Source organism: Homo sapiens, chromosome 2 (genome assembly GCF_000001405.40).
Source record: "Homo sapiens chromosome 2, GRCh38.p14 Primary Assembly".
NCBI classification, from domain to species: domain Eukaryota; kingdom Metazoa; phylum Chordata; class Mammalia; order Primates; family Hominidae; genus Homo; species Homo sapiens.
Genome location: NC_000002.12, coordinates 43,569,783 through 43,596,437, shown reverse-complemented (window position 1 = coordinate 43,596,437; position 26,655 = coordinate 43,569,783). Strand labels below are relative to the sequence as shown.

The 26,655-nt window shown below is 39.0% G+C and overlaps 1 protein-coding gene across 9 annotated transcripts in view, besides 1 other annotated feature; it reads left to right on the top strand.

Moving 5' to 3' along the window:
- THADA (THADA armadillo repeat containing) overlaps positions 400 to 26,655 on the top strand; it is a 365,188-nt gene continuing 338,932 nt past the window's right edge. For 4 of the 9 annotated variants that reach the window (NR_144316.2, NM_001345923.2, NM_022065.5 and 1 more), the window contains exons 1-14: positions 400 to 507; positions 4,022 to 4,121; positions 4,392 to 4,486; positions 5,484 to 5,614; positions 9,436 to 9,584; positions 9,704 to 9,736; positions 9,989 to 10,037; positions 14,510 to 14,697; positions 17,831 to 17,925; positions 19,196 to 19,416; positions 21,411 to 22,102; positions 23,446 to 23,624; positions 24,576 to 24,731; positions 25,928 to 26,050. Coding sequence is in view for 7 of the 9 variants with exons in the window: in NM_001345923.2 (NP_001332852.1) it covers positions 4,046 to 4,121; positions 4,392 to 4,486; positions 5,484 to 5,614; positions 9,436 to 9,584; positions 9,704 to 9,736; positions 9,989 to 10,037; positions 14,510 to 14,697; positions 17,831 to 17,925; positions 19,196 to 19,416; positions 21,411 to 22,102; positions 23,446 to 23,624; positions 24,576 to 24,731; positions 25,928 to 26,050 (2,187 nt within the window). In the remaining 2 variants the exon portion in view is untranslated. Of the gene's footprint in view, positions 792 to 3,547; positions 3,595 to 4,021; positions 4,122 to 4,391; positions 4,487 to 5,483; positions 5,615 to 9,435; positions 9,585 to 9,703; positions 9,737 to 9,988; positions 10,038 to 14,509; positions 14,698 to 17,830; positions 17,926 to 19,195; positions 19,417 to 21,410; positions 22,103 to 23,445; positions 23,625 to 24,575; positions 24,732 to 25,927; positions 26,051 to 26,655 lie in introns of all 9 variants that reach the window. The other 5 variants (NM_001083953.2, NM_001271643.2, NM_001345925.2 and 2 more) reach the window with 4 other exon arrangements.
- Positions 13,713 to 13,932: a silencer, noted in NCBI's record as "fragment chr2:43809645-43809864 (GRCh37/hg19 assembly coordinates)". NCBI's record gives its function as "represses an EF-1alpha promoter that drives an FKBP-Casp9 reporter gene in an ReSE screen in K562 erythroleukemia cells {active_cell/tissue: K562}" and the evidence as "EXISTENCE:reporter gene assay evidence [ECO:0000049][PMID:32094911]".

The window sequence follows — 26,655 nt, the reverse complement described above, 5'->3', positions numbered from 1 at the left end:
CTCGCAGGCTCTAAACTCCCTGGACTCGTTCCCGAGTCCCAGACGTAGTTTTCTCCTAGACTCTGCACTGGGCCAACAGAGTGGGAGAAAGGTGGAAGGTCTGGATTGGGAGAAAAGCGCTTCCCAGGCGTCCAAGCATGTGAAGAGAATGAGGTCTTTTCATTCAACAAGAGACCGTTGAATGAAGGCCCCTCAGCAACAAGGCCCGTCAGCCCTAACGCCATGAGGAACGCGCGGCGCTGACGGTACAGTGGCTGGTTAACTAAACCGGATTGCTACCGGCCACCCCGGTGACGTCACGACCTCCTCGAACTCCTGATTGGAGGAGCTGCGTTTGGTCAATTCTCGCGATGACTCCTCCAGGTTACCCCTCTCTCCCTCCCTTTGCCCTGACCCGGTAGTCGACCGTGGACCGCGCTGCGAGCCTCGGAGACGCCGTAGAAGGAGACCTGCTTCCGGGACTGGACCAGGCGCCTGCGACTCTTCTCAGACGCCGACGTGCACGAGGTTTGGCTCCCAGGTGTCCTGCCTGCCAGACCCGCGGTAGCTCGGCTCGGCCAGTTTTGCTAGGGCTGCCTGGCGAGCCACACCAATTCCCATCCTTTGGTATCGCCAGGATTCGGCGGCTGTGAAACTGATTTCCGGTCGCTAAGGTCTCCATGGAGACAGCACTTTAACCACTTTCTCCCACTGTCATTCCTCGACTCCACGTGGTTCAGAAATCGCCCAGAGAATGTTTGTGGGAGTCAGCCAGGAAGGTGTAGAGTGAAGCAGCGTTCTAAAGGGAAGCAGTAAGTGGGACCTAGGAGGAGTGTAATTTACTGGGCACCTTCTGGCCTTGCGGTAGACACGGGATTTACCCCCTTGGGGACCCTGGTTCTTCAGGACACACGTTTAGGCATCATTTGAGCAGGCATAATTACCGAGTCTGCTTTTGTGTAGCCCTCAGAATTGCAAGAGCAAATCCTCCTGCAAACTTGCTTACCTTTCACCAGAGAATAGTCTCCCTAGTTAGGTTTCCCAGTCTCTTCTGGCTTTGTACGATGGTCACTTTCTTAGGAAGCGTGCCTCTATTCCTCTAGATCTGACTATCCCTTTACAAATTATTCTGTTGTCGACACTTTCCTAGCTGCGTCCATTTTTGGTTAAGTGGTTGCTCACCTGCCATTACTGTATGGATTTCTTACTTCCCAAACAGACCATAGGTTCTTAAGATGTAGAATGTCACTTAGATGTAGAATGCATTTTAGGTACCAGATAGTCCACCTTCCTGCCCTTAAAGACATATATCCCTTCTAGAACATCTCTGACAAATGTTTGTTAATTAATTTGTTTATTCGTGAAGTGTTTGTTAAACACCTACTATGTGCCAGGCACTGGTTTGGAAATTGAGACTTGAAACATGAACAAAATAGATTAAAGTTGCTGCCTTCATTCAGTTTGCTACTAGGTGAGACAGACAATATACAAATTTACAAGTTAGGGTAATTTCTGGTACTAGTAAGTGCTATGAAGAAAATTAACGGAAATGGTGTCTACGTGTGTTGTATTGGTGAGATTTTAGATAGAGTGGTCATGGAAGGCTTTTAGAAGGTAATGTTGCAGCAGAAACATGAATGGTGAGAAGGAGTCAGTCTTGCAAAGATGTGGAATGAACATTAAGGGGCAGAGATACTGAGAAGTGTAAAGCCTCTTAGGTGGGAATAAGAGCATCAGGAAGTACAAAGCTCTTGAGATGGTGAAGAGGAGATTGGTTTGAGATGAAGAGTGGAGGAAGGCAGGGTCAGATTATTTAGGGCCTTGAAGGGCAAAATCTCAAGTATTTATTTATTTATTTATTTATTTATTTATTTGAGATGGAGTTTCGCTCTTGTCTCCCAGGCTGGAGTGCAGTGGCACGATCTCGGCTCACTGCAACCTCTGCCTCCTGGGTTCAAGCCATTCTCCTGCCTCAGCCTCCGGAGTAGCTGGGGTTATAGGCGCCTGCCACCACACCCGGCTAATTTTTGTATTTTTAGTTAGTGCAGACGGGGTTTCACCATGTTGGCCAGGCTGGTCTTGAACTCCTGACTTCAGGAGATCCACCCGCCTCGGCCTCCCAAAGTGCTGGGATTACAGGCACGAGCCCCCACTCCTGGCCTCAAGTTTGAATTTTATTCTAAGTGTATTTAGAAACCCTTGGAAAGTTTTAAGGAAGAGAGTAAGTAATTCAATTTGATGAGAGTTTTTTTTAAAGAGATTGCTTTGATGATTGTAAACAGAATGGGCTCTTTGGAGGTAAGTGTAGAAGTCAGGAGACCAGTTAGGGAGCTGTTTCAGGAGTCCAAGAGAAAATATTCAGTCATCTTCTCTTTGAATATTCCTGGTGTTGGAAAATTTCTTTGTTTAAAAGGTAGCCCAGTCCTTAGTGGGACCATAGAGCTTTTCCTTTGTATTGATCTGGAATCTGTTTCCCTGTAGCTTGTACTGACTTTTACTAATCTAATAGCAAGACAAGAAGTCTAAGGCTGGGCGCGGTGGCTCACGCCTGTAATCCCAGCACTTTGGGGGGCCGAGGTGGGTGGATCACGAGGTCAGGAGATCGAGACCATCCTGGCTAACATGATGAAACCCCGTCTCTACTAAAAATAGAAAAAATTAGCCGGGCGTGGTGGCGGGCGCCTGTAGTCCCAGCTACTCGGGAGGCTGAGGCAGGAGAATGGCCTGAACCCAGGAGGCTGAGCTTGCAGTGAGCGCAGATCGCGCCACTGCACTCCAGCATGGGCGAAGGAGCAAGACTCCGTCTCAAAAAAAAAAAAAAAAAAAAAGTCTGTAGTAGACAAATAAATCTATTCCCTTTTTCTCCAAAACAGTCTAGCAGCTGTTTTAAGGCTCTTGTTCTGTTGACTTTTTCTCCAGGCCAAACACCTTTGGTTAACTGAGCTGTTCTCTGAAGGAGGTGCTCTCTAGGTCCTTCAGAAATAGTTCCATTGTTTGTTATGGCTCCTTAGAGTATGGCCGCCAGCGCTGTACCTAATGCTCTACATGTCACCTGGCCTGTTTGAATAAAATCATGCACTCTGATATGGCTGACTTCTGTGGTTTTTGGCAGTCATCTTGGGCTGTTGAGCTGTTTCAAACCACGTTTTGCCTCTCCAGCCTCTCTTTCTGTGTTTTTTTCCCCTAAACTAAATGCAGCCCTTTGTATTTATTTCTGTTTCATCTTGGTAAATTTCATATTGCTCGTTATTCCAGTTTATTGACCTGTTTTTATTCCTGATTCCATCATTCAACATGTCCTTCCAGATTTATTTTATACATGTACTACATTATAGTCTCTAATATTTGCATCATAAATACTGCTAAAGATGCTAACTGCATCAAGAGAAGAGCCCTATGACATTTCCCTAGCAACTTCTTTCCAGATGGCATGGTACTATTAGTGTGTAGTTGTGTAGTCTCTGAGTTGGGTTGTTTAGCCTGTTATGAACCCGTTGATTTGTTAAGTATCGATAAAAGCAAACTCAAGAGAATAGCATTAAAAAAATATTTTTTTTCATTTTTGCAGAAATCAGGACACGGTAGTACCTCCTCTTAGTCTAATGAGTCACTGAGGTTAGTTTGAAGTATTTTATCTTTGGAAAAACTATCCCAGTTTTTTTGTGTGTATGTTCACTAAAAGGAAAGTTTGCTGTATTTTAAAATACAAAGACTGAGTCATAGTAGGTAAAATAACTTCAGTCAGTAATAAGCTTCAGCTTAAAACATTTTTCTTCTTCAAATCAGAAATTCTTAGACAGTGATTCTCATTCTGGAGCAGTTTTGCTCCCCAGGGGACACTTCACAGTGTTTGGAGACATATTTTGGTTGTCAGAACTTGGGAGGGAGGAGGGTGCCACTGGCATCTAGTGGGTAGAGATGGGGATGCATGAAACATAATGCATAGGATGATACTGTTCAACAAAGAATGAACCCAGCCAAAAATCATAGTGCTGAGGTTGAGAAACCTTACATTAATGCCTTAAAGTCTTCTTTCTTGCAGTGACTACTATTAATTCTATTTAAAATGGGTGTAAAGAAGAAGAAAGAAATGCAAGTTGCTGCGCTGACCATTTGCCATCAGGACCTTGAAACTTTGAAATGTAGGTGACTTCTGGTTTCCCTTATTATATTTTTTTCTAGTTTGCAAGCAGAGTATTTTAATGACTGGGACCCCTAGCATATAATATTCAAATTCTTTATATTTTTCCTTATGTTTTGGATGTAAAACAATTTTCTTAAAATTCTGTCTTCAGACTATGTTCCACCTATTGCTATGGTTTATAATTAAAAAATTTTGTAGAATGCACAACAAAGGCAAAGTTAACTCACTGTTAAATCATTGAAAATTTTTTTTTGTATATGTTATATAGCTTTTGCTGATGTGGAAGGGAAAAATCTAGCTTCTTTGCTGTTACATTGTGTGCAACTCACGGATGGAGTGTCACAAATCCATTATATTAAACAGGTAAGTCTGAATTGATATTCATGGATGCATCTTTAAGAGTATCATGCTATTAAGGATTTAAAAAAAATCACTGACAGTTTTTGGTCCCTAATTATTGCATATCAGTTTATCATTAGCAAATAAGTATTTTTTTTTTTCTGTTTATTGTATAATATCCTTGTATTCAAAGCAGCAATAGAAGCCATATTCAGACTTCTATCATAATTGAACTGTAAACAGATAAGGTAGAAGATAATGTGCATACCTCTTTTGTGGAGATAAATTTTAAAATATATGAATCTTCAAAACTTTTTAGCAGACACATTTAAAAGTTAATTTAAAATATAAAGATTATACTTATTAGTATTTCAGTATTAGGATTTACCATTTGAGCACACATAGTTTTTTTTTTTGGAAAGCAAGTAAATGTATTACTGGTTTTTTAATAGTGCTACAGCTGTTCTTTACTGTAAGCCATTAACAGGTCTGTGATTCTCTGTGGAGGTGGGTCTGGAGGGTAAAGAGGGAGGTGGGGACATGAGTTTAAAAAGTTAATAAATAGTGAAATAGGTGTTTAAATCAGTATCCTTGACAGTGGAGTATGGAAAACATTTCACGTAATTGACACTTTGTTTTATTTATTTTTTTGAGATAGGGTCTCACTCTCTTACCCAGGCTGGAGTGCACTGGTGTGATCTTGGCTCAACCACAGCCTCAACCTCCTGGGCTCAAGCAATCCTCCTGCCTCAGCCCCCTGAGTAGCTGGGACTACAGGCATGTGCCACCATGCCTGGCTAATTTTTGTATTTTTTTGTAGAGACAGGGTTTCACCATGTTGCCCGAGCTTGTCTCGAACTCTCCTGGGCTCAAGCGATCTGCCCACCTCAGCCTCCCAAAGTGTTGGGATTACAGGGGTGAGCCACTGTACCCAGCAATTGAGACTTCAAAGAGTATCTGTAACCATGTTACTTTGCTATATTTGATATTATAAAAATTACTTCAATGTTTTGTATTATAGATTGTGCCTCTGCTGGAGAAAGCAGATAAAAATGGCATGTGTGATCCCACTATTCAAAGTTGTTTGGATATCTTAGCAGGCATTTATCTTTCTTTGAGTCTAAAGAATCCCTTGAAGAAAGTATTGGCAAGGTAAGAAAAAAAGGAAGGGAAGTTGGGTGTTATAAATGTTGAATTTGACCAAAAGTAACTGAAGTTCCTTCCTTGGTTTGATAAAACTGAACTGATACAGATCACAAAAAGTTCATTCATATGGTTTGTTCTCTGTTTCATTGATTAGTTACAACTATTTTTTTTTTTTTTTTTTTTTTGAGACGGAGTCTAGCTCTGTCGCCCAGGCTGGAGTGCAGTGGTGCGATCTTGGCTCACTGTCAGCTCTGCCTCCCGGGTTCACGCCATTCTCCTGCCTCAGCCACCACACCCGGCTAATTTTTTGTGTTTTTAGTAGAGATGTGGTTTCACCATGATAGCCAGGATGGTCTTGATCTCCTGACCTTGTGATCCGCCTTCTCAGCCTCCCAAAGTGATGGGATTACAGGTGTGAGCCACTGCGCCCAGCCTAGTTACAACTTTTTAAAAGTATAAAAAGCCTTCTTAGGTCACATGCTTAATAAACAGGCTGTGGGCTGTAGTTTGCTTACTCCTGCCTCAATCCATTTACATTTATTGGTTATGTTTAAATGTCATCTTGCTGTTTTTTCCTCTTTTTGTCCTATCTGTTCTTGGTTTAAATATATATTTACACAGATAACACAGGAATATAGGCTTGGTATAAAAATTTCAAATGATATAGAACTATACAAAATAAAAACTAAGGCTTCCATTTCATTGTTTAGGGCTTATCTTACTTTTCTTAGTAAAGATTGTCACTTACCGTTTTGGTATTTATCTTTCTAGACCTTCTCTTTGAGGTCAGCATATGTGTGTTACATTCTACTTTTTTTATATATATCTGTAAACGAGATTATACTCTACAGAATGCTCTGTAGCTTGTTTTTTCACTAAAGAATGTCTTAGAGATATTTCCATGTCATAAAATCCTAATTGTAGTAAAAGACATATAACATAAAAACTCAGTCTTAACCTTTTTTTTTTATGAATTCTTTTTTTTTAAATTTTAATTTTCATTTCGATAGGTTTTTGGGCAACAGGTGGTACTTGGTTACATGAATAAGTGGTGGTTTCTGAGATTTTGGTGCACACATCACCTGAGCAGTGTATACTGTACCCAACAATTTGTAGTCTTTTATTTCTCACCCCCTTCCCACCCTTTCCCCTGAGTCTCCAAAGGCCATTGTATCATTCTTATGCCTTTGCATCCTCATAGATAAGCTTCCACTTATGAGTGAGAACATATGATGTTTGAGTCTTAACCATTTTTAAGTGTACATAGTTCGCTATTGTTAAGTGTATTCATATTGCAGTGCAATGATCTCTAGAACCTTGTCATCTGCTAAGCTCTGAAACTGTATACATTAAGTAACAACTCTCCATTTCCTGCTCAGCCCTTGGCAGCCACTTTCCGTTCATAAATTTGATTACTTTAGATACCTCATATTAGTGTAATATTTGTATTTATATTTTTGTGACTGACTTATTTCACTTAACATAATGTCCTTAAGGTTCATCCCTGTTATAGCATATGACAGGATTTTCTTCTCTTATAAGGCTTAATATTCTGTTGTATGCATATACTGCATTTTTTTCATCCATGCATCTTTCAATGGACATTTGGGTTGCTTCCACTGCTTGCCTGTTGTGAATAATGCTGCTATGAACATGGGTGTGCAAATATCTATTTGAGATCCTGCTTTCAGTTCTTTGGATATATACCCAGAAGTGGGATTGCTGGACCATATGGTAATACTATTTGTAATTTTTTGAGCAACTGTCATACTGTTTTCCATATGCAACATTTTACATTCCCACCAGCAGTCCTTACTTTTTCAGCTATAAATATTCTGTAATATGAATATACCAAAATTTAAATGTACCATATATATGACATGTATGTATCTATATATGGTACATATTACATGATTTATATTACATGGTATAAAGTAATTTAATCACTTCCCCATTGCAGTGATATTCTTATGTATATAATTATATATGTGTATTTCTCTGAGATAAATTCCAAGAAGTGGAATTTCTGGACCAAAAATTAGGCCTATTGAAATTCTTGGTAGATATTGTTAAATTGTACTCCCCCAGACTACCCATTGAATTAGAATGCTTGTTTCTTCTTCATATATTTCCAACATTGGATACTATCAATCTTTAAATCTTTTAAAATCTAATGAAGGAAAATGCTATCATTATAATTTGTGTATCCCAGATTACTAGTGTAATTGAACATTTTTTAATGTGTGGAATTTGACTTTTTTTATTACATATTCTTTGTACATTTTCTTGTTAGAATGTTTTCTTGATTTATAAGACTTCTCTATAGATCATATGCCAAATACATTCCTTTGTTACTTGTCTTTAACTTTCTCATGGTGTCTTGTCTTTACAAAAATTAAAATATTATTTTGGTTATCAATTCAGCTAATTTTTGTGTATGTAGATTTCTGAGTTTTATACCTTGCTATATGTGCTTTCTGTAATACAAGATTATTTAAAACATTATTTGCAGGCCTTATACTATTTTTTTTTTTTTTGCTCAACTTTTATGTCCATCTGGAATTAAGCTTTGAATGTAGTGTGAGGTAGGGATTCAATTTAGTTTTCTTTTTTATATGGGGAACCACTTACCCAAACTGTTGAATCGTCCATCTTTGCCCACATATTTGGAATGCCACCTTATTGTGTTATATGTTCACATATATACATGGGTTTGATTTCTGAGTTAGGTCCAATTATTCATACACCAACACCACACTTTTATTTACTATAGTTTGATAAAGTGTTTTAATTATATGTCAGTGTTAAGTCATCCCTCTAGTGACTCTTCTTATTCTGAATATTCCCATTTTTGAATTATTTTCTTCCAGAAAAACTTTGAACTGTCCAGTTATATTTAAAACAAAGCCAATCAGTTTTGATGTATATAAATTGAGGCAAAATTGATATGTTTAATTTACTCATTTGATAAATTTTTATTGACTGCCTACTGTGTTTCAGCACTCTTCTAGGAACTGGGGGTAGAATGAATGAAACAGTCCAGAATGGAGGTTACATTCTAAGGGGAAGATAGAAAATAGACAAAATAAATAAGTAACATTTATAGGATATTAGATGGCATGAGTGCTATCTAAAAGCGGGAAGGAAGGAAAGGGGACATAAAGGATGGGGTGAGGGTTACAATTTAAAATATTATGGTCACTTCATATAGCTTTGCTCAGACATGATAAGGTAATTGAGATTGACCTGAAAGGGATGAGGCAGTGATTGCTGGGTATATTTGAAGGAAGAGTATTTTGGATGGAGGAAACAGCAGAAGCAAAGACTGGTATGTCAGAACAGAGCAAGGCCATGTAGCTAGAGCTAAGTGAACAAAGATCAAGATGAGGTCAGGATTGTGATAGATGCCATTTTAAAAATCAAGAAAAGAAAAAAAATAAATAAAGATGAGGTCAGGAGCTAATGGTAGTGCCAGATTGTATCGGGAGGACCTTGTAGGTCACTGTAAACACTTCAACTAGTACTTTAACCGAGAAGGATATTGTTGGAGGTTTTAGTAAGAGAAGTGACATGGTGTTTTAACGGTGTCACTCTGCCTGTTCTGTTGAGAATAATCTGGGAGATGGGAGAGAAGCAAGGTGGAAGCAGGGAGACCAGATGTGCTGACAAGCCAGGAAATTCGAGTGATGGTAGTGTGTAGTTGTAGTTTTCTGGCTGTATTTTGAAGATTTAGTTCAGTATTCCCACATTTGTATGATTCTCTTCCCTCTCCACATATTCTGGGGCTATTAGATTGTCAGATTTTTAATATTTGTTTCTTTTTCTAGCTCACTAAATAGCCTGCCTGATTTTTTTCTACCTGAGGCTATGCACCGTTTTACTTCTCGTCTTCAGGAAGAATTGAATACTACTGACTTATACTCTTACAGGAAAGTTACTGACAATATTTCTTCCTGTATGGAGAACTTTAACTTGGGTAAGGCTGCACTTTTCTAGTCCTTTTTCTGGCTAACCCCTCTCATCACATCATAGTTTTTAAATGACATTGATTTTGGTCGTGAAACTCCTTACCAGTGTTCATTTTTTCCTCTACAGGTAGAGCAAGTGTTAATAATCTGCTTAAAAATGGTAAGTCCTATTATTTTATTTTGTTCCATGAGTTGATGGCTTGTATGAGTCATTTTGGAACTGGCTCTTTTAAGTTTCTTGGTAATAGGTAGAGCATTGTAGATAACTTAGGTACATCATGACCCTTCCTTTTAAATTTTTGTTTCCATATCATGATATCATTTTGGATAACAGTGATATAAAATATTTTATTTTATTGAAATTGAGCTTCACAGTTTTAAATTCTTATTTGTCATATTCTTTTTGTTTCAGTGCTTCATTTTCTGCAGAAGAGTTTAATTGAAATCCTGGAAGAAAATAGGCAAGTGCTATATGTTGGCATTTGTGTGTGCACACTTGCAGTTGTACATTATCTTTGTACAAAGAAAAATTTAAAAGTCTCAGAATGTGATCTTTTCATCCCTTTTCATTAATATTATCACTTTTATATTTTTTTTGAGATGGGGTCTTGCTGTGTCACCCAGGCTGTAGTGCAGTGGTGTGATCATAGCTCGCTGCAGCCTCAACCTCCTGGGCTCAAGTGTTTGTATCACCTCAGCTTCCCACGTAGCTGGGACTACAGGCATGCACCACCACACCCAGATAGTTTTTTTTATTTTTTTGGAGACAGAGTCTCACTATGTTGCCCAGGCTGGTCTTAAACTACTGGACTGAAGTAATGTGCCCGCTTTAGCCTCCCGAAGTGTTGAGATTACAGGCGTTAGTCACTATGCCCAGCCCCTTTCTCCATTAATATTAGACCCAATTATTTAAAATTTTTTTTAGAGGTTTGATATTTAATTTTAATAAATTCAAAGTTTTTATATTTGAACTTTATTAAAATATTTAAATGAAAAATTAAAAATTTAATAAATTGTTATGAGAATAAGTGAAAGAACTCTTTTCCTCACCTGAGTGTGTTCCTTTTTCATAGCATCCTGTTTTATTTTGTGAGTGAAATATCCTCTGTTACTTCTCTGAGGATATATTCATGATAGTTTTTTTGTTTTTTATCATCTTTACATAGTCTTTGTTTCTTCCAAGTTGCTTTTTTCTGTTTGCTGGTTTTGTTCAGTATATTTCTTATTAGAAGCTTTCCTCAGAAGTCTGGTGATCCTTGGCTGGGCAATTATGTATTTCTTTCTATCTATCTATCTATCTATCTATCTATCTATCTATCTATCTATCTACATTTTTTTTTCTTTGTGACAGGGTCTCATTCTGTTACCCAGGCTTGAGTACAGTGGTACAATCTTGGCTCACTGCACCTCTACCTCCCTGGGTTCAAGTGATACTCCCACCTCAGTCTCCCAAGTAGCTGGGACTACAGGTGCCCGCCACCATGCTTGGCTAATTTTTTTTTTTTTTTTTTTTTTGTAGGAATGAGGTCTCACTATAATGCCCAGGCTAGTCTTGAACTCATTGGCTCAAGTGATCCTCCCTCCTTGGCTCCCAAAGTGCTAGGATTATAGGTGTGAGCCACTGTGCCCAGCCAGGGTAGTCATGTTTAATAACGGGACACCAAGGATTGATTTGAATGTCTGCGCCTATTGAGTGGAGTTGACTGCAGGTTTTATTGTAGGCTAGTCTAGCTGAGCTCTTTCTTGGGGTAACTCTTCCTTGGGGAAACCTAAAGATGTCAGTACGTTTAAATCTTTTTGCTTAGGTACTGGATTTGCCACGGAAGACTCTTCCAAACCATTGTCTTAATATTCTGGTTGCTGAGTGAGGGAAGAAGGCTGAGGTCTCAGTATTTGGCGTGCACTGTGCATGTATTTACCTAATTCTCCTTTTTGTAATATGTTGCTGCCTTATCTGTGTGTGCTATCTTCCTTTCCAAACACCTGTTTTACCTTTTCTAAAGATAAACAAGTTGTCTGCTGGCTCGGAGGTATTCAGTCTTCCTGTCTTCAATCCTTTATTTACCTCCACATCAAGGAGTACCTAGTGCCAACAGTTTCTGAGCCATTTGGGACTACAAATCAAATGGCTTCTGGGCTTGTTCCCTGGCTTAGTATCCACTTTTCTTGATTCTGCTGTCAGTTATCACTCATCCATCTGCTTTGCAGCTTCTGAAATACTATTGTTATTGTCTTGTTGCATATTGGTTGCCTTTAAGAATTTATCTTTTTACGTTTTCAATCCCATGGCTGTTGGTTTGAGGAGGTTCTGGGAGAGAGGAGAAATAATACCTGTACATCTTCTTTCACTCAGGGTAGCCTTTTTCCACAGCAGGAGCTCTTTGTCTCTTTTTCTCCTTTTTGGCTCTTCTTTTTATGCTCATCGTGTAAAGGTGGGTTCTGTCCTTTTTATTTTGTTCGTTTGAACTGCTTAATAATGTCCACTTTGGTGTCAGCCACCACCTATGTACTCAGGATTCCCAAATTTATTACTCCAAGTTAGATCTCTTTCCTGAGTGGTAGACTGATGGACATCAGTTGACAGTTAACTTGTGGACATCTCAGCTTGGATGTTTTACAGGTACCTCAAATTCAGGGCGTCCAAAAGAAAGGAAAATTTATTTTTTTAAAAAAGTCTTTTCCTGTAGCCCCAGGTAACCTCTATTCTACTTCCTGTCTTTTTGAATTTGCCTATTCTAGGTGATTCTTATGAATCATGTAGGATTTGTCCTTTTGTGTCAGGCTTATTTCATTTATTTTTCCTTTTTTTTTTTTTTTTTTTTTTAATTGAGACAAGCTCTGGCTCTGTCACCCAAGCTGGAGTGCAGGATTTTGGCTCACTGCAATCTCTGCCTCCCAAGCCCAAGTGATCCTTCCACCTCAGCCTCTGGAGTAGCTGGGCCCACAGACGTCCGCCACTATGCCCTGTTTTTTATATTTTTGGTAGAAATATGGTTTTACCGTGTTGCCCTGGCTGGTTTCAAACTCTTAAGCGCAAGCAGTCCCCCTGCCCCAGTCCCCCAAAGTGCTGGGATTACAGGCGTGTTTTCGAGGGTCTTCCACGTTTGTAGCATATATCAGAATTTCATTCCTTTTTGTGGCCGAATAATATCCCATTGTATGTTTAGACCACATGTTAATCAATCTGTCGATGGACAATTTGATCTGTTTCTACCTTTAGGCTATTGTGAATAATGCTGCTATAAACATTGATATACAAGTATATCTTTGAGTCTCTGCTTTTAGCTCTTTTGGGTATATACGTAGGAGTGGAATCATAAGATAATTCTATATTTAACTTTTTGAGGAACTACCAAGTTGTTTTTCCTAACTTTTGCCTTAATAGGATTATTCTGTGTTTTGCTGTGTTGAGAACTGAGAGGTAAGGACAGAAGCTGCGAGAGACCAGTTAGGAGGCTATGGCAATAACCCAAGGGAGAGATGAGAGTGGCTCAGGCCAAGATGTAGCAGTGGAGTTGGTCTGATTCTAGATGTATTTTGAAGGTAGAACCAACAGGATTTTCTTATAGATGAGATGGAGAGGAGAGGTGGCAAGGATGATTACAATGTTTTTGTAGGATAAAGATGCAGCAGGTACAGCAGATTTGGAGTTGAAGATAAGTTCACTCATTTAGAGATGTCTGTTAGACATCCAAGTAAAAATATCAGGAAGTTAGATATACCAGAAAGGAATTAGACAGAGAGGTCTGGGTTAGAGATAAAAATTTGGGAATTATCAGCATGTAGATTATAATTTAAAGCTGATGAGCTAAAAGAGATCAGCAAAGGAGAGAATTAGATGGAGAAAAGAAGAGGAATAAAGACTGAGTCCTGGACATTCCTAACATAAAAAGATCAGGGAGAAGAGGATGAATTAGTGAAGGTATCCGAGAAGGAGTGCTGGTGAAGTAGGGGAAAATCTGCGAGAGCCTGGCATTTTAGAAGTCAGGGAGAGGCTGGGCATGGTTGTTCACGCCTGTAATCTCAGCACTTTGGGAGGGCGAGGCAGGTGGATCACTTGAGGTCAGGAGTTTGAGACCAGCCTGGCCAACATGGTGAAACCCCTGTCTCTACTAAAAATATAAAAATCAGCTGGGCATGATGGCTTGCTTGTAATCCCAGCTACTTGGGAGGATGAGGCAGGAGAATCGCTTGAACCCGGGAGGTGGAGGTTGCAGTGAGCCCAGATTGCACCACTGCACTCCAGCCTGGGTGACAGAGGGGGAGACTCTGTCTCAAAAAAAAAAAAAAAAGCCAGGGAGGGAAAATATATCAATGTTGAGAGAGTGTTCAAGTTTGTAAGTTATGTCATTTTTTTTTTTTTTTAAGATGGTGTCTTGCTCTCTCACCCAGGCTGGAGTGCAGTAGTGCCATCTCGGCTCACTGCAGCCTCCACCTCTGGGGTTCAAGCGATTCTCCTGCCTCAGCCCCCTGAGTAGCTGGGATTACGGGCATGTGCCACCACACCTGGCTAATTTTTGTATTTTTACTAGAGACATGGTTTCGCCATGTTGGCCAAGCTGGTCCCAAACTCCAGACCTCAAATGATCTACCTGTCTCGGCCTACCAAAGTGCTGGGATTACAAGTGTGAGCCACTTCGCCCAGACTGAGTTCTGTCATTCATTCTTGATTTCTTATCTTTGCCCTAAAAGAAGTGAAGTTAGTTATTGGCTGAGAAAGAGGGACATGTAGATTAAGTTAACAGTGTTGAAAGTTTGCAATTAATGTCTACATAATTGGAATGTTTATAGGAATGGAAGAGAGAGGAATAAATTATCATAATTTAAAATTGATTTTGGGCCTTTGAGGAATGTATTTATTTTGCTGATAATTAGAAATGTTCACACTTTTGTTTGAATTTCCTTTTGTAATAATGTCTTTTCTTCTTTATAGAAAATGTGCTGGAAATCATATTATTCAAACACAGTTGATGAATGACTTACTGGTAGGCATTAGAGTTTCAATGATGTTAGTACAGAAAGTACAAGATTTCCAGGGAAATCTTTGGAAGACTTCCGATTCTCCCATATGGCAAAATATGTGTGGATTGCTGAGTATTTTTACCAAGGTTTTAAGCGATGGTAAGTGTAACAAATTATATACAAATGATATATAATTGACAGTTAAAATTGAGTGTCAATCAGCTTTTCCTACTAATAGTGTGAAATGTGATACTTAACTGAGATGTGGAATGTGTCCTTACTCAGCCTCTCAAAAATGGAGGGAGGCCCTGGACTACATGGTTTTTTTTTTTTTTCTTTTCTTTTTTTTTTTTTTTGAGACCGAATCTCACTGTGCTGCCCAGGCTGGAGTGTAGTGGCGTGATGTTTATTCACTGCAACCTCTGCATGTTGGGTTTCACATCCCAGGTTCAAGCGATTCTCGTGCCTCCGCTTCTGAGTAGCTGGGATTATAGGAGGGTACCACCACACCTGACTAATTTTTTGTATTTTTAATAGAGAAAGGGTTTTGCCATGTTGGCCAGGCTGTTCTGGAACTCCTGGCCTCAAGTAACCTGCTTACCGTGGCCTCCCAAGGTGCTGGGATTACAGGTGTGAGCCACTGTGCCCAGCCTGGGTGACTGAGTTCTATTTCTTGCCTTGGAAGATAGGTTCAAGGGTGATCACTTTTTAATAATTTATTAAGCTGTAAATTTGTTTTCTGTCACTTTTTTGGAATCTGTGGTTTATTATTATAATAAGATTAACGAAAAAGTGACACCTAACACAAGTATTTATATAAAAAGTTGAATTATCCTTTCTCTCTTCACCTCCCATTCTATATGGTAATATATGTTTGAATGTAACTTAATTAAAAACATGCTAATGGGATCTCTTTAGAGCTCTTGTTAGTGAAAAACAATAACTGACTCTGGTTTTGCTAGGCTGATTGGAAGACAATAGCATCTCATTGTTTGTGTTTTTTGGTTTTTTTTTTTGTCTGAGATGGAGTCTCTCTTTGTCGCCCACACTGGAGTGCAGTGGCGTGATCTTGGCTCACTGCAACCTCTGCCTCCCAGATTCAAGCGATTTTCTTGCCTCAGCCTCCCGAGTAGCTGGGATTACAGGCATGCACCACCACGCCTGGCTAATTTTTTTTTTGTATTTTTAATATAGACGGGCTTTCACCATGTTGGCCAGGCTGGTCTGGAACTCCTGACCTCAGGTGATCTGCCCGCCTTGGCCTCCCAAAGTGGCTCAGGTGTGAGCCACCGCGCCTGGCCTCATTGTTTGTGTTTTTAACCCTGGTAATGAAAGTCTTAGCTATATTTTGTCCAATTAGTATTTCTATTTCTCTTTTTGCCTGGGTTCTCAGGTATTAAAAGGAAAGGAAAGTAGTTAAAGTTACTTTTATTAAGACATAACTTACAGAAAACTTTTCAGAGGTTATTTACTTTTTAAAAGAGGACTGTGTTAGTCTAAAAAAAAGATTCTCTAACTAATGAAATGTAGAGAATACATGATTTTAATATGAGGTAACTTCGGCCGGGTGTGGTGGCTCATGCCTGTAATCCCAGCACTTTGGGAGGCCAAGGCGGGCAGATCACGAGGTCAGGAGATTGAGACCATTCTGGCCAACATGATGAAATCCTGTCTAAAATACTAAAAAACTAAAATACAAAAAAAAACATTAGCTGGGCGTGGTGGCGTGCACCTGTAGTTCCAGCTACTCGGGAGGCTGAGGCAGGGGAATCAGTTGAACCCGGGAGACAGAGGTTGCAGTGAGCCAAGATCATGCCACTGCACTCCAGCCTGGCAACAGAGCAAGCCTCCGTCTCAAAAAAAAAAAAAAAAAAAGAAGTAGCTTTTTTTCCGAAAAGTTGATGGCACCTAATCAGTACTATTCTTTTCCAGCATTTTAAAGCTTCATAATCAGTAAAGTGTTTAGCTGCAAGTAACTGAAAACCAAACCTCCTTTCCCACATAACAAGTTCAGAGGCAGGTCATCCAGAACTGGTATAGGCAGTGTACGACCCACACATTTTCTGCTTTTCTGCTGTGCCATCTTCAGCAGGTTGGTTTTCACCCACGTTTGTTGCCTCGTGGTTGCCATATGACTGCTGTAGCTCCAGATGTGTCTTTATTCAAGGCAGGAAGAAGGAAGGCCAGTTGCGTCTTTACTTTTGATCAGGATACTCAAGTGACTGGCTTAAATCCAACTGGCCTGAACCCTCTTATATGCCTACCTTTAGTTGCAAAGAAGATTGAAGAAGCAAGTATCCTGCTTTTGGCTGGGCATGTGGCTTCCCCAATCAAAGTCACAGTTTTCTTATCAGTGATGAAGGGCAGAGTGGATATTTAGTACGTAGTTTATGATGTCATAAAGAAGTGTTACTTCTTTCCCCAGGTTGAACAACTCACCATGGTATTAGAGGCTAATAGAGATAAAACAAAAAGAAGATACCAAGTCAAAACTGTTTGGTTGCTATGGGTACAGTGTCAGTGCTAGCAAAGTTTGTAATTAGCACTTACCTACATTCTTTATACAAGCCCTGAAATCTCTTTTTGAAAAAGTCTGTGTATATGGTGATTGGGATACAGAGGCATTGGTGGAGGGGAGGGGACAGGTGGTGTTGCTGTTAGGTGTTTTGGGAAGCAATAGTTGGCGAGGAAGAAAGTGTATGTTAGAGGAGAGAGGAAGGAATCACGTTTATTGAGTATCTATATGCTGGGCTTAAAAGCCTTTATATTCAGCCGGGCACAGTGGCTCATGCCTGTAATCCCAACACTTTGGGAGGCCGAGGCAGGCGGATCACAAGGTCAAGAGATCGAGACCATCATGGCCAACGTGGTGAAACCCCATCTCTACTAAAGATACAAAAATTAGCTGGGTGTGGTGGCACGCGCCTGTAGTCCCAGCTACTTGGGAGGCTGAGGCAGGAGAATCGCCTGAACCCAGGAAGTAGAGGTTGCAGTGAGCTGAGGTCACGCTACTACACTCCAGCCTGTCAACAGAGTGAGACTCCTTCTAAAAAGCGTTTATGTTCATTATTCATCTAAACCTGACACTGCCTCAGTTAAGAGTTATCCCATTTTACCCAAGAGAAAAGAGAGTCTGTGGGATGTTAAATAACTTAGGTAAGACCTATTCACCCAGGAAGTGGTCAGACTAGAAATTGTACCCAGGCCTATCTGGCTGCTCAGCATCTGCTCTTTCCACTCTACCAGAATATTCATTATTTAACACAAGCTTCTCTCCTTTTTTGCCAAATAGATGATCTGTTACAGACTGTACAGAGCACATCTGGATTAGCTATTATTCTTTTTATTAAGACTATGTTTCACCCGTCTGAAAAGATTCCTCATTTGGTAAGTGCATCTCCTTTTTAGAATTGTACTTTATTGAGAGTTAGGGTATGTTTAAAAAATAATTTTGGCTTGGTGCAGTGGCTCACACTTATAATCCCAACACTTTGGGAGGCCAGGGCAGGAGGGTCACTTGAGGCCAGGAGTTTGAGATTAGCCTGGGGAGTTTAGCTAGACCTTGTCTCTACAAAAAAAAAAAAAGAAAATTTGCTGGGTATGGTGGTGCACAGCTGTAGTCCCAGCTCTTTGAGAGGTTGAGGTAGGAGGATCGCTTGAGCCTAGGAGTTTAAGGCTGCAGTGAGATAAGATTGCACCAGTCTGGGCAACAGAGTGAGACCTTGTCTCTTAAAAAAAAAAAAAATTAAAAATATTTTTAAAGAAGTGAATTAAAATAATTTTTTTTTGCATTGTCTGGTTCCTTCTGATGACCTTTTTCTGTTATAATAAGAGACAATTCCAAAAATTCAGATAAAGCAACAATAACAAAAAGACAATAACAGTCACCTGTAAGTCCATCTCACAAAGATAATCACTATAAACATTTTTGATGTACATTCTTTTAGTTTCTTTTTAGTGCTGTTTGTTCAGTGTCATCTCTCATTAGTATCTTAAAAGATATTTTTAATGTTAAAATTATGCATATCAATGTATAGATATATACACAGTAATAACTTTTCTGATAAATGTATTCTTTATTGAGAATAACCCAAATCATGTGCTTTAGACAGGAAGCATGCTAGATAGAGTCAATTGTTCAGTAAATTTGCTTCTTACAGAAAGTATAATTTGATAATTTAGGCCACAATCCTTGTATTTTTTACTAGTAGATTTCTTTTTTTGCTTGCTATATTGTATGGAAACTTATTTTATCTTTTTACCTGACCTTAGAAAAATATATTATGAGATCACACAAAGTAATTATCTTTGGATAAGTCGAAGATGTTTATTTCTCAAATCACCTCTAAAAGCATTTGTTTAAAAAAAAAATACATACCAAAAAAAAAAAGCAGTTGTTAAGCTTATCCACCTGCAGGTGGCGATGTGTTGTGCTCTGCCAGTACATTCCAACCAGCAAAATCATTCTCGTACTTGATGTAATTTTTTTCCTTTAATACTAATACAATAATCATGACATTTGTGGGTATTTTATCTTTGGATTTAGTCATTTTTCCTAGGATTTTTCAGGGGAAAGAGATGTTTGGGTTTGTATTTTGAAATATCTCTGAAAAGTTTTAAAAGCTTTATGTGTGTTAGCTCTGCTATATTTTTCCAGATTAGCAGTGTGCTGCTTCGTTCAGTGGACTGCACCAGTGTCCCCGAGTGGTTTATGAGCAGCTGCAGGAGCCTCTGTTGTGGTGACATCTCTCAGTCAGCTGTCTTATTCCTCTGTCAGGGGACACTTGCCATGTTGGACTGGCAGAACGGAAGCATGGGTCGGAGTGGGGAGGCCCTGCTCTTGGATACTGCACATGTTTTGTTCACCTTGAGTTCACAGTGAGTTTTGATGCTATCGTCTCATATTTTGTTTCACTTGTAAGACATTTAGAAGATGCAGTCCAAAAGCTGGAGTGGCTTGTGCCTCTAATCCCAGCTACCCTCCCAGTAGGCTGAGGCAAGAGGATCACTTGAGGCCAGGAGTTCAAAACCAGCCTTGGTGACATAGTGAGACTGTGTCTGTACAAAACTTTTAAAACTTAGCTGGGTGTGGTGGCATGCGCCTGTAGTCTCAGCTACGTGGGAGGCTGAGGTGAGAACATTGCTTGAGCCCAGGAGGCCGAGGATGCAGTGAGATATGATTGTGCCACTGCACTCAAGCCTGGGCGACAGAGTGAGATCCTGTCTTAAAAAAATAAATAAATAAAATTATTGCTGCAGGTTAGCCTGTAAAGAACATTTCTAAAATTAATTTTTAACATTTTCAATGTTATCGTTTTTAAAAACTATAAAAATTTTTATATGTATAGTGTTTTAGAATTTATAAAGAACTTCAACATAGGTAATCTAATGTGATCCTCAAATGGCTACTATATAGGATAAGAAATCTAATTTGTTGAATGGGCAAAGGGAGGCTTAGAAAAGTAAATGCTTACCTGAGACCATATTGCTAATAAGAACCTGAAACAGCAATCTTAGAAGGTCTTCTGACTTCATGGGGCTGTATTTTGTATTTTTGTGGTGTTTTTGCCATAATGGCTGAAAGTGATCATGTATATGAAATGTCGAAACATATATACAGCTTGATAATACTGAACATATGAATAAAGGAGGAAAACTAAAATAATTTTTTACATATTTGAGCTATATTATGCAATTCATAAATTTGAAGTGTACAATTCAGTTTATTAGTTTATTCACAGAGTTGTACAACCACCAGCATTTCTAAAATTAATTTTTAATATTCTCTTTGCTATATTTTTTCTTTAAAAATTTTTTTCCTGAAATTTGTTTTTAGCATCATTTTTTAAAACTATAAAAGTTTCTACATGTGTAGTGCTTTAGAATTTATGAAGCACTTTAACATAGGTAATCTAAAGTGATCCTTATCAACATTTCTGAAATGAAGTTTTAACATCTTAAAAGTTAATTCAAACAACTTTAGAATATTTTTATCACAGAGAAGCCCCATTCCCCCAACCATCTCCAACACTTGGCTTTCCTTATCTTTTAAATTACATGTGTAGGCCGGGCATGGTGGCTCAAGCCTGTAATCCCAGGCTTGCAGATCTCAGGCAGGTGGATCACTTGAGGTCAGGAGTTCAAGACCAGCCTGGTCAACATGGTGAAACCCTGTCTCTACTAAAAATACAAAAAATTATCTAGGCATGGGGGCATGCGCCTGTAATCCCAGCTACTGAGGCGGCTGAGGCAGGAGAATCGCTTGAACCTGGGAGGCAGGGGTTGCAGTGAGCCGAGATCGCACCACTGCACTCCAGCCTGGGTGACAGCAAGACCCTGTCTCAAATAAATAAATAAATAAATAACTTGTGTAATCATCACAGTCAAGGTAGTGAATATTTCCATCATCCCCCAAATTTCCCTATGTCCCTTCCTGGACTATTATTATTTTTGAGACAAAGTCTCGCTTTGTCACCCAGGCTGGAGTGTAGTGGCATGAGCACAGCTCATTGCAGTCTCACTCCTGAGCTCAAGCAATCCTCCCACCTCAGCTTCCCAAGTAGCTGGGACTGTAGGTGTGTGTCACCACACCCAGCTAAATTTTTAAATTTTTTATAGAGATGGGGTTTCACTATATTGCCTAGGCTGATCTTGAACTGCTTTCTGGATTATTTTTTACAAGGTAAAAAGAATCATATACAAATTTGAGATCTGTTTTGGCTTTACTTGTAGTTTTTTGTTCTTGTAAATTTAATAATTGAAATTTGTGGTCATTCTGTGTATTTAATATTTTTAAAGTCTAAATTGTTATAAAATGAAATTTCTTTTACTAATCAGTTTACAATAATGGCTCATGGCTCATTTTTCTTCAGGATTAAAGAGCCAACGCTGGAAATGTTTCTGTCTAGAATCTTAGCATCCTGGACTAATTCAGCCATACAAGTCCTTGAATCAAGTTCCCCGAGCCTAACGGACAGCCTGAATGGGAATTCAAGTATAGTTGGGAGACTTTTGGAATATGTCTATACCCATTGGGAACATCCATTGGATGCTCTGAGACACCAAACCAAAATCATGTTCAAAAACCTTCTCCAAATGCACCGGCTCACTGTGGAAGGTGCAGATTTCGTCCCTGATCCTTTCTTTGTGGAATTGACTGAGAGTCTTTTACGATTGGAATGGCATATTAAAGGAAAGTACACGTGCCTTGGTTGTTTGGTAGAGTGCATAGGAGTTGAACATATTTTGGCTATAGATAAAACTATTCCATCTCAAATCTTAGAGGTGATGGGAGACCAGTCATTGGTACCTTATGCAAGTGACCTCTTGGAAACCATGTTTAGAAATCATAAGAGTCATTTGAAATCCCAGACTGCTGAGAGTTCTTGGATTGACCAGTGGCATGAGACTTGGGTTTCTCCTCTCCTTTTTATATTGTGTGAAGGAAACTTGGATCAAAAATCTTACGTGATTGATTATTACTTGCCAAAATTATTAAGTTACAGCCCTGAAAGCTTACAGTACATGGTAAAGATTCTTCAGACTTCTATTGATGCTAAAACTGGTAAGAAAAATGCATTTTTGTTTTAGTAGTTTCTAATTATGATGCTTAAATGTAGGTAGCTATGCAGATACTAATCATATTCAAATTTAAATATCACTTCTATAAATAGTAAAGGAAGAGATTAATGATAGATGTTTCAGTTTGAAACGAATGTTCCTATATATAGCTGAATGGAGTTTTTTGGCTGAAGTCATTTCTACAAGCTAAAGAATAATTCCACTTAAAATGATAAACTTTCCTGTATTACAAGGTTTTAATTCATTTTTTCAAGTTCTGAATTTATTTTATTGTATCACTGAAATAAAAGTTTGTGTGTCTTATATAATGTGCTTATTCAAGTCATTGAGACAATAATTAAAAATTGTGTTAGGCAAGGTTAAAGACAGGTAACTTGGCAGTAGCAAGTTTTTTTCTCTGGGGAAGTGACAAAATTCAGAGGCATGATCTCAAGAAATAGCCATCTATAGTTATTTAGAATAGGGGTAAACATCCCATTGAAACTCACAAACCCTACAGGAATCACTGCATTCAAGCATAATTCAGGATGTGTAAAGTGATGATCATGACACATCATATAAATCTTAAAATTATTACATTCTGTTTAACAAAGCAAGAATGTAGTATCGTACAGCATAATTTTAAGAAATATTTTCAACTAAAATTGTTAAAAACGTTCAGTACTTCAAAGAGTAACCATGAGGTAGCAGGAAAATTTGATTCCTGTATGCAAAAATAAGCCATTATTTGTAATTTTTGACAACACTTGTTCTTGAGTTTTTGAAAAGCCATCTGAAATTCAGGATTCAAGAATCTGTTCTGAAGTAAGGTTGTCTTTATTTTTATATCAAGCTGCCCTGTCTTCTTGGTAATGGCTGACGTCCTAGCCTCTGAAACCAGCAGGCTCTTTGTGTTCCTTTTTTAATCTTTACTAGTGAGAAACAGCCACTCTAAAATATGCAGAGAGGTTCAGTGTTTACTTTTAGAGAAGTAATAGTCTGTAGCCACTGATGTGCTTATTTCTCCACCTGATTTTATTTCCTGATTTGCTGCCTGATTCCCTTTCTAGGTGTTAGGGAAAAAGCAAAAATGTTAGCAGGTAAATAATGATTTGTTTATGTTAACGATAAGAGAATTATGCTTACTTGAAATGATTGACAAAAGGGCAAATCATATTAAATAATGATTATTTTAGAATAGGAACTTTAATTTGTGTTAGAAATGAGTTTAAAATGTGATTTTTATTTATTGAAATAAAATGTTAATTGGAAACATGAAAATTAGCAGCTGATAATTATAGTAGTCATTGCATAATACAGTAATGGTCTTTGTTATTGTGCTTTCAGGACAAGAGCAATCTTTCCCATCCTTAGGGTCTTGTAATAGCAGGGGGGCTCTGGGAGCTTTGATGGCATGTCTGCGAATAGCTAGAGCTCATGGACATCTTCAGTCTGCAACTGATACCTGGGAGAACCTCGTGTCTGATGCAAGAATAAAGCAAGGCTTAATTCATCAGCATTGCCAAGTAAGTAAAGAAAATTACCTGGATTTGTACATGCAGTAGATCCCTTTCATGTAGCAGTTCAATATAGAGGCCCCTACATTGTATCCTGAACTGTTTTAGGGAGTTCATAAAGAGAATGAGTAGAAACCCTAGTCTCCCAACTAAACTTTCAGTAGGCCCTTTCTTCAAGCTACTGAAAGTTTAGTTGAGGATGTAAGAAAACTTACATAAAACAACTGGAAACTCTTAGAACTGACAATACAGATACAAGCATGCCATCATGTGCCCTTAAATACATAAGGACTCGCTTGGAAGGCTCAGAAGAGACTGATCAGAGCAGGTGGTGCTTGATTAGGAAAGTGATAGATATGATTAGAAAAGAGGAAGCCTTGGAGCAGCATACAAAATGGAGGGACCCAAATGAGCAAGGTCTGGAGGATGATTAAGAACATTGCTTATCAGGGGTGGAGTGTTTTGGACATTTTTTGGAAAGGCCTAATGCTAGGCTAAAGACTTAGTTGGTTCCCAGGCACCAGCTGGTTTTACTAAGCTAAACCAAAGCTACTCTGTTTTCAGCAAGGAGTTACATTAGTGGAAACGTGAGTTTCCAGAGTGGGAGCAGAAAGAAACCAGGAAACCAGTTAGAAGTGTCTGGCAGTAATTTAAGAGTGAGGTGATGGGGTAAAAGGGGTCACTGGAAAAAAAGAAAAAGGAATGAAGCTGAGCATTACCACGGAATAAAAATCTTTAAGATTGTTGCATTTTATAAATCCCCAATTTACATGTTTAATAAAAGAATTGTATAGGAAATAACCCTAGGATCTTTGAGATTAGGAAACCTTTCTGAGGTACCTATTGGTGAACTGAAGTTTACTTTTTTCCTTTTGTAGCCTATGTAAGTAAGCAATTCAAGTGATTTAGGCTTTGCTTATTTCTTGGAAAATTAACATTTTATTGCTTGATGTTTTTTAGGTAAGGATAGATACATTAGGCTTGCTTTGTGAAAGTAATCGGAGCACAGAAATTGTTTCCATGGAAGAAATGCAGTGGATTCAGTTCTTTATTACATACAATCTTAACAGCCAGTCTCCAGGAGTGCGGCAACAGATCTGTTCTCTTCTTAAAAAGGTAGAATTTCCCATCAGAAGGCATAGGGAAGTGGTGAACTTTGTTTGGGAAATCGTTTTTAAAAAGAGCCCAGATTTTGGGAGCGTGTGGGAATGGTCATGGAATTGGGCTACCACATCTGTTCATGACGGCCGTTCTGTGACCTGTTCTCTCATTCCATAAAGCTTACATTTGGGATTAAAATCCAGAGTGAAAAGCACGCACCCCTCCCCCCACCATTTTTTTTCAGGAGTTCAGAATCAGCCTGGGCAACACAGTCAAACCCCATCTCTACTAAAATACAAAAAAATTAGCCGGTTGTGGCAGTGTGTGCCTGTAGTCCTAGCTATTTGGGAGGCTGAAGCAGGAGAATTGCTTGAACCTAGGAGCGGAGGTTGCAGTGAGCCGAGATTGTACCACTGCACTCCAGCCTGGGCAACAGAGTGAGACTCGGTCTCCAAAAAAAAAAAAAAAAAAATAGTCTTGCTCTGTCAGCCAGGCTGGAGTGCAGTGGTGTGATCATAGCTCACTGTACCCTCAACCTCCCAGGCTCAAGCGATTCTTCCTCCCCAGCCTCTGAAGTAGCTGGGATGACAGGGGCACACCACCATGCCTGACTAATATTTAATTTTTTTTTAGAGATAGTGTCTTGCTCTGTTACCCAGGCTGGTCTTAAACTCCTGGACTCTAGTGGTCCTGCCACCTCAGCCTCCCAAAGTGTTGTGGTTACAGGCATGAGCCACCACACATGGCCAAAAGGCCTTTCATTTTGGTGTAGTAAATCAACCTTGGGCTCTTTTTTGTAAAGAAAAAGTCTAATGCTGGAGTTAAGGTAGTTTTAAGAAAACTTGGTAACAGCATTTTTATAGTTTAAGCACCTCAAAAGATCATTATCAAATAATCTAACTTGAATTAATTGCACACACATTTATGGGGTGAAGAATTGGTAAAGTAGGGAAATGACTAAATCATCTTCAGGTTTGTGCCAACTTAAAGGAAACAGAATTGTGGTTTAATGACAGTATTCTGCTTTGCAGTAATAGTTTGTTTTTGGTATAAAAATTATTTTCTGTCAAAAAGAAACATTATAAAATATTAAGAGCTTAAAAATCTGTACTCTTCTTGCCTGAAGTTTTATTCTAAATAATTTGCCTCTCAGGCTGACATTTAAATTTAATGTGTGGCTCACCTGTGCTTCATTTCCTTTGTTTCAAAAGTTGTTTTGTAGGATACAGGAAAGTTCTCAGGTACTTTATAAATTGGAGCAGAGTAAATCCAAACGTGAACCAGAGAATGAGTTAACCAAACAGCACCCTTCTGTTTCTTTACAGCAGTATAAGGTAGGTGATATATTTCTAAACATGAGAGTTTTTTTTTAAATTAAAAAGTATTATGAATAAGCATTAAAGGGAAATAAATGGAAGTCTCTTGGTAAATTGTGTTTCTGTGTTTTTTTCCTTCAAGCTGAGTATTACCTATTTCTGGTGCTTTGGTACTCTACTTGATGTAGCCTGGGTTATGGAACCAGTGCTGTACCGGAGGACTGTTACAGAATGACGTTAGTGGGCTAACCTCAATCACTTTCAGCTTATGTGGGCGAGATGAATTTAGTACTTTTAACAGAAGGGTAATTGACAGTACTGAACTCTGTCCCTCTCCAGGGCAGAAGACTGCTGTTGCTGGGCCTGTTTTCTCTTTAGTTTGAGATGACTTACAGAGGCTTGATATTAATGACTCTTGGCCCATGGTCCAGCTGTGGAGGGAGCTTGCTGTCTGTGTCACATTGGAGTGAGCTTGAAGAGTAGGGCTGGATTTTAGGGCATTGTGTTAATGAAATGGATGGAAACCTGGGTGCAGCAGCTCCAGTCTGGGCCAGGGCTTAGCTTGACAATCTTGAATTTCTTTTCAGCAGAACAGATTGAGCTTTTCACTGTTCTTCCCCCAA